Source organism: Homo sapiens, chromosome X (genome assembly GCF_000001405.40).
Source record: "Homo sapiens chromosome X, GRCh38.p14 Primary Assembly".
Classification (NCBI taxonomy): Eukaryota; Metazoa; Chordata; class Mammalia; order Primates; family Hominidae; genus Homo; species Homo sapiens.
Window position 1 is genome coordinate 31,623,401 of NC_000023.11, and position 18,330 is coordinate 31,641,730.

Sequence of the window (18,330 nt, forward strand, 5' to 3'; positions counted from 1 at the left end):
CTACAGGCGTACTCCACCACACCCGGCTAATTTTTGTATTTTTAGTAGAGACGGGGGTTTCACCTTGTGGCCAGGATGGTCTCGATCTCTTGACCTCGTGATCCGCCCGCCTCTGCCTCCCAAAGTGCTGGGATTACAGGCGTGAGCCACCACACCCAATTTTAATAACATATTAGAAATCAAAGATATCTTAATTCATAGGTGTACTCAGATGTACAATTCAAACTTTATGAAACTTGTCTCTCTGGAAATGTTTTATTCATCAGAAGACAATTTTTATAATGGGGGGATTGAGAGGAGACGTAGGTAAAACACGAGATTAGGGAAGGGAGTGATTTGAAAGATATGGCCTGAGACATGACCCAGATCACAGATGAAGGTATCTCATATATTTATTGCTCCTTAGTTTGTCTTGCTGAGAAAAATATGTTAATTACACCACCTTTATGAACATCATAAAGGTCACCACATACCCACACCCCCACATTGTCTTTACAAGCTAATATTACAATGATCTCTCAGGGGTACTTAGAGAACCACTTAATATTTGTGAAACTCTTGTGAAATATTCAGAAAGACAGAGTCTTTCCATTTTCAGTTAGTTACCCAGGGTTTTATGGTAGTACTTTGAACCATGAACAGCTTTGTCAACTCTTCTTAGGCCCAAAGCAGAAAATGTTTTGGATAGAGAAATAATCCGATTCAATTACGAATATAGTTTTTTTATTTAAAGGATAAATCTGCAATTTAAAAATCCTGAAACTTTCACCCCTAAAGGCTTTGTATGGCGTTCTATAAAAATACATTTGCTTAAAAATTCCAGTTAGCATATCAGAAATAACAATATTTATAAGAAACACCCCCTTATCCTGAAGTACAAGGACGACGGTAAAGTTCTTGATTTTAGTAAGGAAAGTGAGTTACACCTTTTTATAATACGGGAGGAAATTCTAATGTCTTTCAGAGAAGAATTAATCATGTTAATTCCATTCAGAATGTATATGCTTTATATTACATGTATGTTTAAAGAATCTATGAATTATGATTATTGCTGAGAGAATAAATATCTTACGAAGTGGCTGATAGACGAAAGTGATAGGTAGTCTAGCAAGAGCTGGAGTCTCCATATATAGAAAAACGGATTGACAGTCTTAGAGAAAAACACATTTTGTGAAGGTTTTCACCCTCTCTCTTCATTCACTAGCATTTGTATGAAGTAAATCATCACTACTTTTGGGGTAGACAGATATATCAAAATCTGTTGGCAGAGCTGTTGCTTTGGCTAGGCATTTCAAATTTCCTTTTTTTTTAATATATGAGAACTATGATTGCTATACAGCATGAATCTATGAATACAATGCTACCAGCTTCTTCAAATGAAGTGAAAAAGCATGCCATTTCACTTTTCTCCTACCTACATATTATAGAAAATTCCTTTTGTTCAAAATAAAAATTCATAGAGGAAAAAAAGCAAACACTTCCATTTAGCTGAAATACTGAAATTGCATGTAATCTCTTAAGGTATGCTGCTTTATTTATTTTCAAGCTCGGCATTTCCATTTGTTGCTCTTCAACACCAGTTTCTTGACTCAATTCAATCAGCTGAAATGTGCCATTAACAATAATCAATAGTTTCAGTAGTTCACCGTTTTACCATGACATCTCCGAGTCTTTCATCAAAAGATCATTATCCAACCATCTAACTAAAAATCAGGAGTTGGCTATAAATGTCATTTCAATCCATAAAATGTAGTTTAAACCTTGGGCAAGTGGATTTATAGAAAATACAATATTAGCTGCCAGGGAAGAGGGAAACTGTCTCTGTTTTAAAATAATTTTGGAATCTTAGTTAACCTTATTATAGTTAAGACGCAAATGTTGAGGTTTTCAGAGGCTCTATGGGAGTTTTATCTGGATTTTGAGAATAAATGTAGTTTATCACTTTGGGGTTGAGACAGTAAAAAGCCCCTGCCTTATTCCCAAGCTCTCTCTTTTTCTACCTCGGGTACACTGAAAGTTATGTGTAATATGTGCCTTAGCTCAAAGATGGAAAAGAGTAGCCTGATCGACACTGGACTTTATGTGAGCAACAAATAAACTGTGGTTTGGTTAAGCCACTGGACAAAAACGAATAAATACATTTTCTTGAGTAACATGGGATAAGCTAAGACATTTTCTCAGCATAATTTCCAACTGCTTTTGAAAGAGAGATCAGAAATCTAAACATAAAATATTTATTTTCCATGCTTCCATAGTAAATATAGTTAGGACACATGGTGAATCTTCCCTTTAATGATTCAGAAGCTTGCAGTTTCTTGAGATTAGAAATAGAGATAAATTTTCATTATATAATACAGCAGATATAAATACAAATTGTATAGTAGAAAATAGACGTATTTTTGCCCTCAACTAGATTTAAAGATATGTTTTATTAAATCCCTGACATAAAATAATTTTTTAGTCATTGGGTTATTCTTTATTTTTCAAAGTAATCTGCTAAAAATAGACTAAAATAGACTTAATCAAAGCTTATTATTTACCTACCATAGCTGATGGGTAAAATGTAAACCCATGTATTTTTATTTATTTATTTATTTGTTTTGAGATGAAGTCTCACTTTGTCACCCAGGCTGGAGTGCAGTGGCGCCACCTCGGCTCACTGCAACCTCTGCCTCCTGGGTTCAAGCGATTCTCCCACCTCAGCCTCCCAAGTAGCTAGGATTACAGGCGCAGGTCACCATACCCAGCTAATTTTTGTATTTTTAGTAGAGATGGGGTTTCGCCATGTTGGCCAGGCTGGTCTCGAACTCCTGACTTCAGGTGATCCACCCACCTCGGCCTCCCAAAGTGCTGGGGTTACAGGCATGAGCCACCGCATCTGGCCGGGAAACCCACATATCTATTAAAATTCTGGAGTAGCTTTATCAGCATTTATAATATTTTATAATAAAATTTTATTTATGAAATAGCCTAAGCCAAATATATTACAGTGGTACATTGTCTAACCATACATCGAAGAGTGAGCAAAAAACTCTACATTTGCATTGCCCTTATATTCTATCACAAGCCATGGGAGATATCTATAAAGTCTGATACTGTTCCAAACAAATTACCTCCAAATGATCAAACTAACTCAACACGCATTTTGGAGGAGAAAGTGGGGTCAAAGCAGGATGATGAAGCAAGAACGATAAATTCAGGAGCCATACATTGCCACTGTTACGTACTCTATGCAACAGAGCAGCAAAGTAGATCAACTATCATATCAAAAAAGAAAAACAGGAGAAGGAGAACGATAGGAGGGAGAGGAGAAGAACTTCTGCTTATTATGATTTGATTCTGGAATTATTCAAACTAGAATATACTTTTCATAATAGTTTAAAAATATCATAATAGTTTCATAATAGTTTTTCATAATAGTTTAAAAATATCAAAAAATAAAGTTAGTCTAAAAAATCAATCATCTTATTATAATGATTTATATCCAAATTGTATTTGAGAGACTAGTAAAGTTATTATATCAAGTCAGAAAAACCAACTATACATAACAAAACTCCATAATAGTTCAGGAAAATTATATCAGGTATTGAGAATAAACTTTAAGAGCCTCCTTGTACTACAGAATATGATTCTCACCAAGACTTCATTTAAACAAAACTACCCCACGTTCTGTTTTCACTGTTTATGCATATGGAACTTTATGGAAATAATTTTTGTTTCTAGGAAAAACAATTGTCTGAAAATTGTTTGATCATTAACTACGACAAATTCAGCCATCTCATTCTTATTTTCACAGATCATGTTAGGAAGAAAGCTACAAAATGCCAGATTAACATTTCAAAACATATTTGAAAGTAATGAAGGGAAACTGATTCAGTTAGCAACGCTAAATAAAACAGACAATTCATACAGATGCTTTCCCTGTAAAATATTAAATAAACACTCAAAAATGTCAACTTTTAAAATTTAATAAACCAATCCCTAAGTTATTTCTCTGAGCAAAGTTTCTCCTTGACCGAAGCTCTGGTTTTATATGCAAATGTTTTCCTGGTCAGAGCATGTACTTTTTCTAAGACGAGGGTGTTAAGTGGAATTATAAATGATGTTTCCTTCTCCCTCTGCCTCTCTCCTCCTTGTCCAAATACCGAAATACATCAGGCTGTATAAAAGCAACTATTTTGTTTTGTCCCTGGCTTGTCAGTTACAAGTACAAATGCTGAGAATTGTTCAATTGGATCCACAAGAGTGCTAAAGCGGAAATGCCTGACTTACTTGCCATTGTTTCATCAGCTCTTTTACTCCCTTGGAGTCTTCTAGGAGCCTTTCCTTACGGGTAGCATCCTGTAGGACATTGGCAGTTGTTTCAGCTTCTGTAAGCCAGGCAAGAAACTTTTCCAGGTCCAGGGGGAACTGTTGCAGTAATCTATGAGTTTCTTCCAAAGCAGCCTCTCGCTCACTCACCCTGCAAAGGACCAAATGTTCAGATGCAATTATTAAATATCAGAATGGTGCACCTAGTGAACTCCATAAAAAGAGAAAGATGGAGGAACTAAATTGTAATATACCAACAATGGGGTGAGTTGTTGCTACAGCTCTTCCTTTAAGCAACAACTATAATATTGTGCAGTCTATTTACTTTCATTTTTATTTAACTTAAAGGCGTTTGTATGGGGGAAGGCATGCAAGAATGACAATTACAGATTTCTATAAACCCCTCTCCACAGAGGAGGTTTCATATATATATGTGAAATATATATACATATATTTGAACATGTGAAAGTTCAAAGTACCTTTTTTTCAATTTTGTAGTTTTTGTTGGTCAATTTTGAAAGCTTATTTTTAATATACTGCCAAATTTGAGACAAACCTTTATAGTTAAAACCCTAAAATCCCTGTACCATGCTTGTCTTTGATGCTGCTCTGAGGCAGAAAACAAGGATTTGATATGCAAGGAGAAAAGTCAAGAAAATACAAACCTAGAATCAAAAGGAAAAGACTAGAGGAAAAGACAAAAAGAAGGGGATTGGAGGGCAAAGGAAGAAAGACTTAACAAGTAAAGAAATAACATTTCATAGAAACTATCATTTTGTGCAAACTATCATTTTGCATGACATCAGTTATAATTATTGTGTTAGTTTCATATTTAACTACTTGATCATACAACTGAGAACATTTTCCAAAATAAAAATGTTATGTGTAATGAAAAAGAGTAGAGTTTTAAAAACTAGGCAGATCTGAGTTCAATTCCCAGTGTTCTTTACCACTTACGTGATATGGCAAGTTCCCTCTCTGATTCTCAGTTTCTCATCTGCAATATCTATTGCTGTGATGAGAATTAAAATAAAAAATTCCTGTGAAGTTGAGTGCCCCACGTTATACAGTTATACATTACAGTTACTCAAAAACATTAGTTCCTTCTACCCATATCCCATTTCCCCATTCCTGTAATATTTTAAAAAGATGAAACAAACTCTTTCATGACAAAAACTCTAAAAATGTATTCATATTTTTGATCATATATATATATATATATATATATATAAAATGCATGTATTGTGGATACACACACATATGCCCTCAGCAAATATCTATATAATAATAGCTTAGAAAGGAAAATTGCCTTAGGCAGTAACAGTCCTATGGAAAAAGATTCAGGTAAACTTTGTCTGCAATGAGGAAATTAGTACTCTATTTAAATGTCTTATTTGCCTTCTATTACTACACAAACACTTTCTGGGATTAAACATAAGCTAAAAATGGATTTTAAAAAATTGAACACTTGAATATGATACACATTGCTTGTTAAGATGTGATTGTCAATAATTATGCAAAACTGCAATTTATTTCAGCAGCAACTTTATCATGGGATGTGCAAACCAGGCAATAAACAACTCCTGCCGAGCCAGCGGCAGCAAAGCCCCCGGAAGAGCTGTTTATTCATCATGGGTGAGGTTTTTGCTGAGCACACAGTCTTCCACAGTGGAGTTTCAGTGCTCATACTGGATAAAAATCTTCTGTCTGCATTAACTGGTGGAGGGTAGAATAGGTTTATGAGGATGTAGCTACTGGAAAAAAGGAAGCATTGCACTAAGCTATTTATCAACTCCTAAATAAACTTTAATACTGCACAGCTGAAAGGTAGTGTAGGGTTCTGGTTGGGCAAATAAATTAAACCTCATGTAGTTCAAGGGCTAACGTGGACTGCCGGCTCCCTGCTTATCTAGTTTTCAGGCAAACTATCAATGCAAGGAGAAATATCAAAAGAGTCATTTATCTTTTTATGTATCATGCTTGAAAAATTCAGAACCACTGCAACAACTCCACGAATCTCAATGCTACAATTGGGCATACACCTTACAGTTTGAACCATGTGTAACTGCTGACAATTGACTGGGTGTGACCTATAAAAGTGGCAGTTTCATGCAGTTTGCATTAAGACTTACTCCATCTCCAGTGCAAAATTTGGAACAGAAATAAGCTGTCACATTCCAGAATATAAATGCAGGGTTAGACATTTGACATATTTTCTAATGTAGTCCAATTTCAAACAAAATTTAAAAATATGAAATTCTCCCATGGCAGAGTGAAACTTAGAGAATGTAATATTGTGCATTTTATCAGCATCAGCTTCATGATGAGCTGCGCTTGATGCATCTTAGCTCCTCTATCCTTAAACTAGAAATGCCGCTTACCCTCTGCTTCCAGAGAAAGTAACTAGTAAATAACTTTCCAAGAGTTATTTGCAAAATGCAATGCACATAAATCAGATGAAAGAGTTCTACCGAGACAATGTGATTTTCAGCCAAATCCTACCAGCAAGTTTGCTGCTTTGTAAATTAGGCCCTTAGGGAAGAACAGTAACTCTTTCAGGACAGTAAGAAACCATTTTCCTAAATGATACCCTTGTGGTCTGAAATATTGACAACATCAGGCTGAATATTTTCTAATTTGGAAAATACGTTAAAAATTCGATGGCAATAACAGCAGAAAATCTCCTCAAATGAGCTCCTTTACGTGCCTCTTGAATAATAGGTAAGACTGTTGTTTCCTGCTTGTGTGGGGGTTTTACGGCTTCAACATTTCTCTCGGAATCTATGTGTGTGTACGTTGAATCCCTAAATTTTAATTGTGCCAGGTCTAGTCTAGAATGAGTCAAGAATACTTAATTTCCATATCTGTGCATTCAACATGCTCTAAATGTATCATATAGTTTTAAATTTTCCGGAACCATATGGGTTTAAGTGGCTTATATGATAAGTAAAATGTAAAAATAAGAATCATAAAGAAAAAAAAGATATGTTCAGAAAAAAAACCAAAGGTCTTGAATTAGATTTTTTTTTAAATTCCTTTGTCCAAGTTATCAAACTACAGGCCCTGGAGAAAATTTGGCTGAATTTTACAAGTAACAATGACCAGATATTAGAAACTGTAATAATGCTTTGCAAACAGAATCTACTGTATTGGTTAAGTACTTTTTTACATAACAAAGTTTTATAATCAGCTATTCCAGCTTTATGGTGCACAAAAATAGCTGAGAATTTGATGGAGTAAGGAATAATGTGATTTCAAAAGGTTTTCATTCTATTCATAAGAGCACTGTGTACCATTCTCAGTATGTAAATAAGGGCAGCATGAAACAGTGTTCTCATAGTCCATGGACCAGCAGCACCAGCAACGTCTGAGAAGTTATTAGAAATGCAAATTCCCAGGCCTCAGCCTAGCTCTACTGAATCAGAGACTCTGTGGGTAAAATCCGGCAAGCTGTGTTTTAACAAGCCTTCCAATATATGCTAAAGCTTGAGAATCACAGTTGCCAGGAACCAGATTTGAGAACGACTGGCATAGTAGATGCTAAGCTGGGCTGCCCGGACCCCTTTTCAGGACTGAAATACTTCTGACCCCAGCTGCTGGTAGTGCTACTGGCTGACAGTCCTCAGCTGTTATTCCTGTCTGAGAGCTGGACTCAGCTAAAGAGAGGTGCCTAGCCCAAAGTTACCCACTATGTCCCCGAGACGGGCTGCACGTATTGGTTGATGGGAGAGTTGTGGGGTATAAAATCCTGGGTCCCTTGCTGCAACTCAGGACAATTCTGAAGGGCTATTCTACCTTCAGACTTCAGAGATCCTCCTGGGGAAGGCTAGGAAGGAGAGGCGGAGGGTTGATTGTGTTGTAGTTGTGACTGTATGGTAGCCCAGCTTCTCCTTCTGCCCAATCCTGCTCCCTTTCCTTTCCTCCGCTCACAGGTGTTAATCCTGAGAGCACTCTCCAATAAAATTCCTTCATGCTAATCACTTTCTCAGAATCTGCTTTCTGGGAGAACTTGACCTCCTGAATTGTCATGCTGAACAAGGATTTTAAAAATATACTTGCCTAAGAAATATATGTGGTCTCCAAAGGGAACAAGATGGAGGATTCTCACATGCAGTAATTGTGCCTGAATTGCTACTGAACTTTTGGTTGCCCTTTAAGGAGACCTATAGATAATACAGGTTTGCATTATCATCAGTTACAAGCAAGAATCTACTGAAGGGGCGGAGTGTTGGAGCTATAAAGCTTAGTGCAACCCTATACGTGCCAAAGAAAGTGTTTATCCAGAGACAACTGCACATGAAGGTAAAGAATCACAGAAGGCATGTTTTCAGCATACCCATTTTCTTTTTAAGACCTGATTATCAATGAAGAAATCAAATAAGTAAGTTCTGACCTGTCATTAGAACCCTACTCCCGCCACACACACACACCATGGTATTTCTGAATAAATCTCTAAGACTGCATTGAGTTGAATATCATCAATTTCTTATGGCCAACATAATACATAAAAAGGAAAAAGGAAGGGAAACTTGTTGCTTTCCGGGGTAAGCCTAAAGAGCTTAATTATTGTATACACACCATTCTACTATTAGATATATGGATGAAAAATACTTTATCGGTGCATTATACTGTGGAATTGTAAGTGTGTAGGTATAATTACAGAAACATATTGAGTATTTTTAGAAAAAGGCTCAATCTGATATGAAAGGTTATTTTGCCCAGGTTATTTTTAAAATGTGATAAATTAGGAACATTCAAAGAACTCAGTCTTCTGCTAAATAACACTTTCACTATGGCCTGGCATTGTTATAGAGTAATCACATAAAATACTCTGAATCTTTCCTTCCTAGTTTATTTGCAATTTAGCCACTATCATTTCCTATGATATTTTAGGAGAAAGATTAAAGGATCATTATTTTGTTCCTTTTTTTGGTGAGATATAGGTCAGAGAGACCTTAGTAGCACCTGGATGTAAGATCAAAATGATTCTTGCCATATCAACCGCTACTCATAGAACCAGAGTTAATCTGAAATTCAAATTTCCTGTAACCATAACAGTTCCTACTAGTTTGCTAGTAAATTGCATTTTGATTTTAAAACATAACTTTATATTGTACTTGTGAGGGGAAGCTAGAATTTTGTCACCTATGGATATACAGCACTTTGTAGAAAGGATTCCTTTTAATCTCTAGCAATTCTATTAGTAACGTGCACTAATGAGAAGCAAAAGCTGTCAACATTGCCTGGATTAGTAGTCCATTCCTAGCAAAACCAACTCTGTGGTTTTATCTGTTTTTGGGCAACATCTACCTAGAAATATGACTGGAGAAGGGTGGTGGCAATGAGAGAATGTTTCTCTTTTCTCCTCTGTTATGAAACTGTAAGGCGAGGAATATATGACATCATTTTAATTTAACTTCTGATGCTTGCTTTTCATCCACAGCATGAAGAATGGCAGATCTAATGTACAGCATGGAAGATAATTTTTAAAGCTAACATCCACATAACTCTTTATATGTTTTCAAACATATTCAGAGTTATTCTATCATCACTTCATAAGATATTTTCCATTTTTCTACCTACCTTCTTTTTCTATGTATACTCAGCTGGATATTTCATTCTCTGCCAATGGCTTTACACTCGATACAGATTATCTTTAATTCTGAACCTCATTCTTATTTCCACATGCCTACCAACATCTAATTCAATAATTCATCCATGCATCCATTCCGTACCTATTGTGTACCAGGATCTGTGCCTGATGATGGTGACAGAAAATCCAATAATACATGGACTTTGGTATTTAACATATTCAAGTTTAACAGAGGGTACAGATAGGTAAACATTTAACTAGAGTTACAATGTAATTAAGGCTATAAACCATCTGGAGTCCTTCCCAGTAGCTCAAATGTAACATATATCAATCTGCTTTCATAAACTTCTATCTCAATTTGCCAAACAAGTGATAAATGTATCTTAAACATGTTTTACTCTTTCCATCAAAAGAGGTGGAGATCATCCAGCAAGGCTTTATCTCAAAATAGAGTGATGGATGCTTAACAAAAGTTTGCCTAACTAATTTTCATAAAAATAAAAAACCTTTTAGATATACAGTACAGGCTTTTGCTGGTTTCATTTTAGGGCTGGAGAGATTGATTCTGAGAGAATTGTAATGATGTTCCCAAGGTTGTATACAAGTTAAGTGGCAGAGCTGGGGGTATAGCCCAAGTCTTGCATTCTAGAAAAGAAGTTTTTGTAACTCTGAAGACAGATATTGGAATACACTCCTCTCTGATATATTCATTGTACTAAAAGAAAGAAAGGCACAAGGAAGATTATGTCACTGAATCCTGGTCTTCATTTTAGAGCACAAATTTAATTTTCTGTTATTGCCATATGCAGGGTCGTTGAAACATACAAATACCTACACATAAGGGAACACATACATACAAAGATATTCTCCTACCCAAACTATTGCAGAAAAGATCTGGCTGCTCTTTGCTTTAAAATAAAAATCCATTTTTAATGCAAATTTGCTGGTTTGCCGTTCACCAACATATGAATTAACGAGGTTTTCATCCCCTCTCTCTTGAGGTCTGGTACTAAATTACTCAAACTCTCCAGAGTTAATTGGAAACCATGACCTAAATGTTCCCAAAGTATTGCTGATTAGTTCTCAGAAAACTCATTCCCATCTTTTGTCACCCCAGACACCACAGGATGACTTTTTAACATGTGCAGTAGCAACACACTGGCATGAGAAATAGATTAATCCTCCAAAGATAAACCACAGCTTTGAAGCTATCTGTGTAAACTTCCTTCACTGATACAGACATTTTATTTTTTAAAAAAAATATACATATCACCTAGACTTTAGATAGTAAGAGAGTATAGGCATTATCAATCACGTAAGGAATTTTGAAAGACACATTTCATCTCTCATTTTTTTAACCTTATGAATGTTTTTAAAATAGAGATTTGCGAATTTATCATTAGGGAAACAACCATAATTATACACTTTCCCTAAAACCATTAGTACTTTCCTGAAAAGACCTGCATTAGGAGACAGCAGTAGAAAATGTGTTTTCTACTTTACTTTGCATTACCCGTTTCATTTGATTTGTATTTCAACTCATAAATCACTGAAAAAAATTAGTTGATAAAGAAATGTACACAGTGTTATGAGCAGATGAAATACACGTCTCTATACACACATATTTTTTTCTTTCTTGAATTTTTAAAGAGATTGATACTCTTTAAGATCTGCATTTTATATTTTTCTGCTGATACAATACGAAAAGGTACTATTTGGAGAGGTTGAAATATAATGTTGGGAGTAATGAATTACATTTGGTTTGGTTAATATACAGAGACTCAAAATATCCTTTTGGGCATTTATACAACTGTAAGGGATCTTTAGAAAAAAATGCAGTTAACACTACTTCCCAGATAATTACACACTTAAAATTGGTGTTGACCTATAGTTGGACACATTTCTGTTCTAAATAAATTCTCAATGATTTGTATAATGCGAATTTTTAAGTTGGCTTTGGTTACTTGCAGTGATAAACTCTTTAAAGATATATTTCCTAATGTTGATAGACTAAGCAGCTTTTCTTCTCTCCTAAAAGGATTTGTTTAAAATAGTATAAAAACCAATTTAAAAGATGAGCCTAAGATCATCTCTTACAAACCTGATAAGACTGTGCAGTTATATATATCCTCATCCACAATAACTTAGAGAAAAACAGAACAAAACAACTAACTGTAGCTTGTTAGTTGTTGATACATAATATTCAGAAGACAGCAAAGCAGGCAGGTTCAGTTTTCTAATATCAAATGGCAAACACACAACAGATTCACTTTAAAAGAAAGAAGTGGCTAAAAACATATCAACAGATGAAATAAACTTATAGTAGAGTCCTGTCAGTGGAATTTGGAAATACGAACAATTTCATAACCGCTGATCTAAATTCTGAATTATGATATCGAAATATTTGTGACTTTTATTACCTAGTCTCTTACTCAGTACTCTCTTGTGGTTAATAATACACATTTGAAAGGGCCCTTTTAGCAAAGCACATGAACAGACACTTTTTAAAAGAAAACATACATGCGACCAACAAGCATATGAAAAAAAGCTCAACATCACTGATCATTGGAGAAATGCAAATCAAAACCACAAGGAGATACCATCACATACCAGTCAGAATGGCTATCACTAAATAGTCAAAAATAACAGGTTCTGGAGAAAAAGCATTGCTTATAAACTGTTGGTTATAGTGTATGTTATTTCAGTCATTGTGAAAACCAGTGTGGAGATTCTTCAGAGATCATGGATGGAGCTGCAGGCCATTGTCCTTAGCAAACTAATGCAGGAACAGAAAACCAAATACTGCATGTTCTCACTTATTAGTGGGAGCTAAATGATGAGAACACATGGACACAGAGAGGAACAACAGACGTGGAAGCCTACTGGAGTGGGGAGGGTGGGAGGAGGGAGAGGATCAAGAAAAATATCTAATGTGTACTACGCTTAATACCTGGGTAACAAAATAATCGGTACAACAAACCCCCATGACATGAGTTTACCTATATAACAAACCTGCACACGTGCTCCTGAACTTAAAATAAAAGTTAAGAAAAAGCCATTTTATATTCAACATGTATTGTTATAGTATTTTACACTAAAATAATGTTCTGCAGTTTTCAAGCTCCTTTGACAGGATCCACAGATAGCACCTCCTTTCATATTTTAAATAGCTTGATGAGGCTAATGAGGCAGGTTGTAATTATCATGAACAGTTTATAGATGAGGAACTTAACTTTCAGGGAAGCTGGGTGAGTTGCCAAAATAAATGACAAATCTTGAAACAATCTAGTCCACTGTACTATAAGACATTACCTCTCAAGGTAGACTTGCCAGTCTCCCTGTGAAGTAAATATAATGGATATTAATATGTCACTATTCTCAAAAGCCCTTTGTTTTCTGTTATTATTATATGAATTAGGATTATGGGGTATGTGTGTATATATGTGTGAAAAGAGAAAAGAAATTATTATTCCTTTGCTTACCATCTTCATCCGTCATCTATGAGATGTGTTACAATAAATACTGAACTTTGAACTCGAGGTAAGCTTGAGGATTTGATTTAGAAAGAAGGCATTACAGGCATTAATCGAATATTTTAATTCTTATGAAATTATACAAAGTTATAGTACATACAATTTTGGCCTTCTCTAAATGATAAGTTAGTAAATGTTGGTTAATGATACAGAGAGTATCTGAATGTCTATGTATTTTGGGATATCTTTTACATAAAATTTCTAACATGAAAATAAAATACTTCATACATTGCTTTACTAGACATTTTACAGTGAAATAAATACATTTTAATAAAACCAACTGAACGATGAATTAATTTGTCGAAGTGACTTAGTTTAAGTAGATTCTAAAAGAATTGCCCTTCTAATTGTAAACCTATTTTAATGGCTCAGATATGATTTACAAGACAAGATGTGGGATTACAAGTAGCTTGAGCTAATTAAAACTTATCAAAATAAAGATTTAAAGTTTCTTGCTTTCGTACTTTTAATTACCAGGGTGAAAAATTGCATTTAAAAGACCTAGATACTTTGAAATGTATTGATGGCCTTTTATAAGATCAATTAAAATTTATAAAGAACAGTCATAATTTAGGATTTATTTTTTTCAATTAGAAGTACAACATGAAAGGAATGAATCTGAGGGTGCATCTGGTTTTAAGAATCCTCTGACTTATGAATATACCACTTACTATAGTCTGGATATTCATCATCGTCATCACCATTCATCAACCACAACTTACTGTAAATTATTTGAGGGCAAAGATTCACACCACAGTTCCTGGCAATTTAATAGATACTCAATAAATTTAATTAAAGTCAATAAACCTACTACCGATAAGGTATACAGCTTCTAAAAACAAGGCCATAGGCTCTTGTTCTTAAAAAACTTAAAATTTTCTTGATGTGAATTTATTGAATAATAATTTATATTTATATAGAATTTTAGAGTTTAGACATTGCTTTCACATAAATTATTTCAGTTGAACCTCATAATAATTTGAAAATATTATCTTTGTTATAAAAAACTATTGTTCAGTTATAACCAAGATGTTTAAAAATGAGAATGAGCAATTCTGTGCCCAAAATTGTGTTTTGCTTTGCAAATGTACAGATATTCAATCTTTGGAATTTGTATCTTTCATCAAATTTTATATTAGCCATGAAAGTGAAGGGGTGGACTATTTTACTGGGCAACACATTGTATTTAGCTGTCAATGACTGAGTTTCTGTTACTCTTCCACGAAAGTTAACAATTTTTTTTCTGAATTTTCAAAATGAGTGTCTGCAAAAAATGTTATTTCAATACTTTCTAGGTGTATTAAAGAAATAGACAGCATACAAATAATAACTTCTGTCAAAATTAACCTGTTATTTTGGCAAATGTTCAGATTGCCTATAAGTTTGATCCTGGTCTTCAGACATCAAGTACCAAAAGTGCCTTAAAACGCATCCTGTCCAGACACCCATTTGGCTTCTGTCACCCAAAATACTCCTGCCCTCCCTGCTTTTTATCACCCATAAGTTTGATGGGCCTCCTCTCTGTAGTTCTACTCATGTTCTGTCAAAAACATCCAGTGTGTCAGGGTTGAGAACAGAAGCTTGTGACATAGCACCAGAGATCTTCCATCACCACCTGACACTGGTCTATTAATCGACATCCTTTGCGTAAAATCATGAAGTGGCTTCTAAGCCATCCAATTTATCTTGCATCTAGCCAGTATTTCTCCAACTTATTCACAAGAGTATAACGAAAGACTTTGTCAAATGCCCAGATGAAATGCAAATAGACTGCTGCATTTTACTTACCTACTTGTCTAAAAGTTTTTCATTGTAAAACATTATTTTATCTCAATAATTTAGACAATAGGGATTTATCCCTGTATGCAGGTATATCTGTGTTGTTTTACTAAATTAGCTAATCTCTTCAATAAATGGGTTCATATTTCTCTTATAGCCTCCACGTAAGTTGCATTTAGCATTTTAAATGTCTTGGACAGCTACAATAATATCTCTTATAATTTTTACATAAAATTCAACTGCATTTATCAACAACTGGTTAGGGGGCGATTGATATAGCTATGTGAGGGGAAGGAGAATAGATGAGTGTTATCACCACCCTTTTATAGAGATCATGCCATTCAAGTGGTGAAAATAGATTATAATTGCAGTGATAATCACAGAATTGTAAAAGACTGGGCTAGACAATCTGGCAGGTCTGAAATGGTAATTTCATTTAGTCTTGTAAAAATGGCAACTGTATCACTCAGAAATAGGTTAGGTGCTCCGAAAATACTGCTATTTCATTAATTCACAAATCAGTATTTGTCTGGAAAGATATTTAACCAAATTATACAGACCACAAAAAAAAGAGGCATCCTAGAAATTGAGGGAGGACATTTGACTATCACAGTGATTGAAGAGTGTTACTATAATAGCATTCTGTGGAGAGGGAATGAAGATGGTAGACTTCTTATACAACAAAGAACTCTCCCAAGTCTGACAGCACTTTGGAATATCCCACTGGACATGCATGTATGTGGAAACCCTGTTTATAAACACCTAAACCTGGAACGTAACTCAATTTTACACGTAAACATAAGATATTTTCCTCATGATTTTAAGACATTGAATTTTTCAGCCATGCAACTAACTGCCATAACGATCCAAGAAAAAATTTATTTCATGGTGTTAGGAATTTTGCCAAGAGTTGTTCAGCATTTTGGAAAATTACGCTATGGATGACCAATGCCCCTCATGGTATTTGAGTCTCCATACAACACAATGGTGTCATTCTGCATTTGTTTATACTGCATTGATAGTCTCGTGATCTAAAAACTTCACTTGTGTTCCAGTGTGATCCTGCCTGAATAACTGCATACTACAACACATATTATTTTATTATAAATGACTCTTATTTCTCTTTAAAATAGAGTTACGGCATCATTTAAACTATTGCCTGTATAAGTAGGGTATGTTGTCTACATATTTTGGCTTATAATCGTAAAGAAGGTATTACAAAGTATTTGTTATTTAAAAAAGAAAAGAGGGGTGGCATTGGGTCTGAGAAGTTTGAAAACCACCGATACAGAGCCACTGGGGAATCTCAAGAGAAAGTTTATTATACTGAAAATTAATAGAATTTTTCAGGAGAGAATGAGGATGTGTCCCCTCCCTGTGCATCCAATCTCTGATCCCTAGAGCTCCATAGAGAATGAAATAGCATTTTAAAAATTGCTCTCTTCTACAACCAGCTGTGACTATCGGTGAACCGGAGGTCTACTTCATATACGAACCTGAATTAAAAACAGCCAGCCCTTGAGTCAGTTCAGAGCCCACGTTCTTGATTACATTTGACACAATAATCATCATCATATCTTAAGACTCAAATCAGCCTGACAGTGCTCAACTCAGGGCTGCTTCTCCCAATTAGCTGAAAATTGCAGCCCAGCTCATCTCCTAGGGAATACGTTTACATTTACAATTTTGCTGTGGCAAAAAGGCAACAAACACGCTGGAAGGAGCAAATCAGCTTTTTAACTTTTACACTAACTATTTTAAGTTTACCTAAGTCTGGTAAACCTGTTTTGACAAGAATGACAACGAGGAAGCTTTTTTTGTTATGATTTTTTATAACTGCGCAAAGTTTAAGATAACTAGAGTTTGGACTAGAAGGGGAAAACAGATACACAATGTGAATATTTTTACAAGTTACTTGTCAAATGAAAGCTTTCAGAAGAAACAGCCTTTCTTTGGTAAACGGTGCATTAAAATAATTTGCAACTAATAGATAGGGACATGTAATTTGAAAACAAAAAGTGAGTAAATGTCAAGGTCCTAGGAAATATTTTCCAATTATATGCTAACCCGATAACTCCATGTCCATGTGACATAGCGTTATTCTGTGTAATTCTGTAAATTACTTCTCTCCTATATTTCTGAGGGGTGGAATAACCAAGGACATTTTTGTGCATTTTGTTTCCTCAATTATGATACCTTTCTATGCAGATCAGGGCAGTTTGCACACACTATGGGAAAAATGGAAAGTGACAAGGTAACCATGCTTCATGGTGGCTGTGCTGAAGATTTGCTCAGATAACAGTGTCCTTATGCGCTGTCTTCTAAGCGGATGACAGTGCAGACATGGAAGAGAAATATGCAGATGGGAAAACATGAATCTAGAAAAGTGGGAAAAATACTGAGGAGCAGGAGACCTGGAAAAGTAAGACAATTCTAGAGTGGGCTGAGATAGAAGACATGTTGTAACCACTGGGGACAGGAAAACATGTGAACAGGAACATGTATATAAGCTGACAGTGTGCAAGAGCTCACAGAAAGCAAATGCTAACAGTAATAGAGAAATACCATTGAGGCAGAGGTAGAGATAAAAAGAAATAAGGAGGGATCGGCCATGGTGGCTCACGCCTGTAATCCCAGCACTTTGGGAGGCCAAGGTGGGTGGATCACGAGGTCAGGAGTTCAAGACCAGCCTGGCCAAGATGGTGAAACCCTGTCTCTACTAAAAATACAAAAAAAATTAGCAGGGCGTGGTGGTGGGTGCCTGTAATCCCAGCCACTCGGGAGGCTGAGACAGAGAATTGCTTGAACCCAGGAGGGAGAGGTTGCAGTGAGCCAAGATCGCACCACTGCACTACAGCCTGGGCAAGAGAGCGAGACTCCGTCTCAAAAAAAAAAAAAAAAAAAAAGGAATAAGGAGAGAGGCAAAGTTGAGGACAGGCGCACTGGGGAAATGACAGAAATAACAACTCAGAGAAAAGTGAGTAAGTGCAACATCTCTTTGAGTCTTGTTATTCCCAAACATCCCTATTCACCCAAAGATTAACATTTCCTACAAGACACCATGTTATGAATATCCTTAACTAATGGATATCCCTCAAGAAGAAATATTTATTT

The 18,330-nt window shown here is 35.4% G+C and overlaps 1 protein-coding gene across 20 annotated transcripts in view; it reads right to left on the reverse strand.

Moving 5' to 3' along the window:
* Nucleotides 1-18,330, reverse strand: part of DMD (dystrophin) — a 2,220,167-nt gene that overhangs the window by 504,179 nt on the left and 1,697,658 nt on the right. For all 20 annotated transcript variants that reach the window (XM_006724469.4, NM_000109.4, XM_011545467.2 and 17 more), the window contains 1 exon segment: nt 4,273-4,462. In XM_006724469.4, coding sequence (XP_006724532.1) covers nt 4,273-4,462 — 190 coding nt within the window.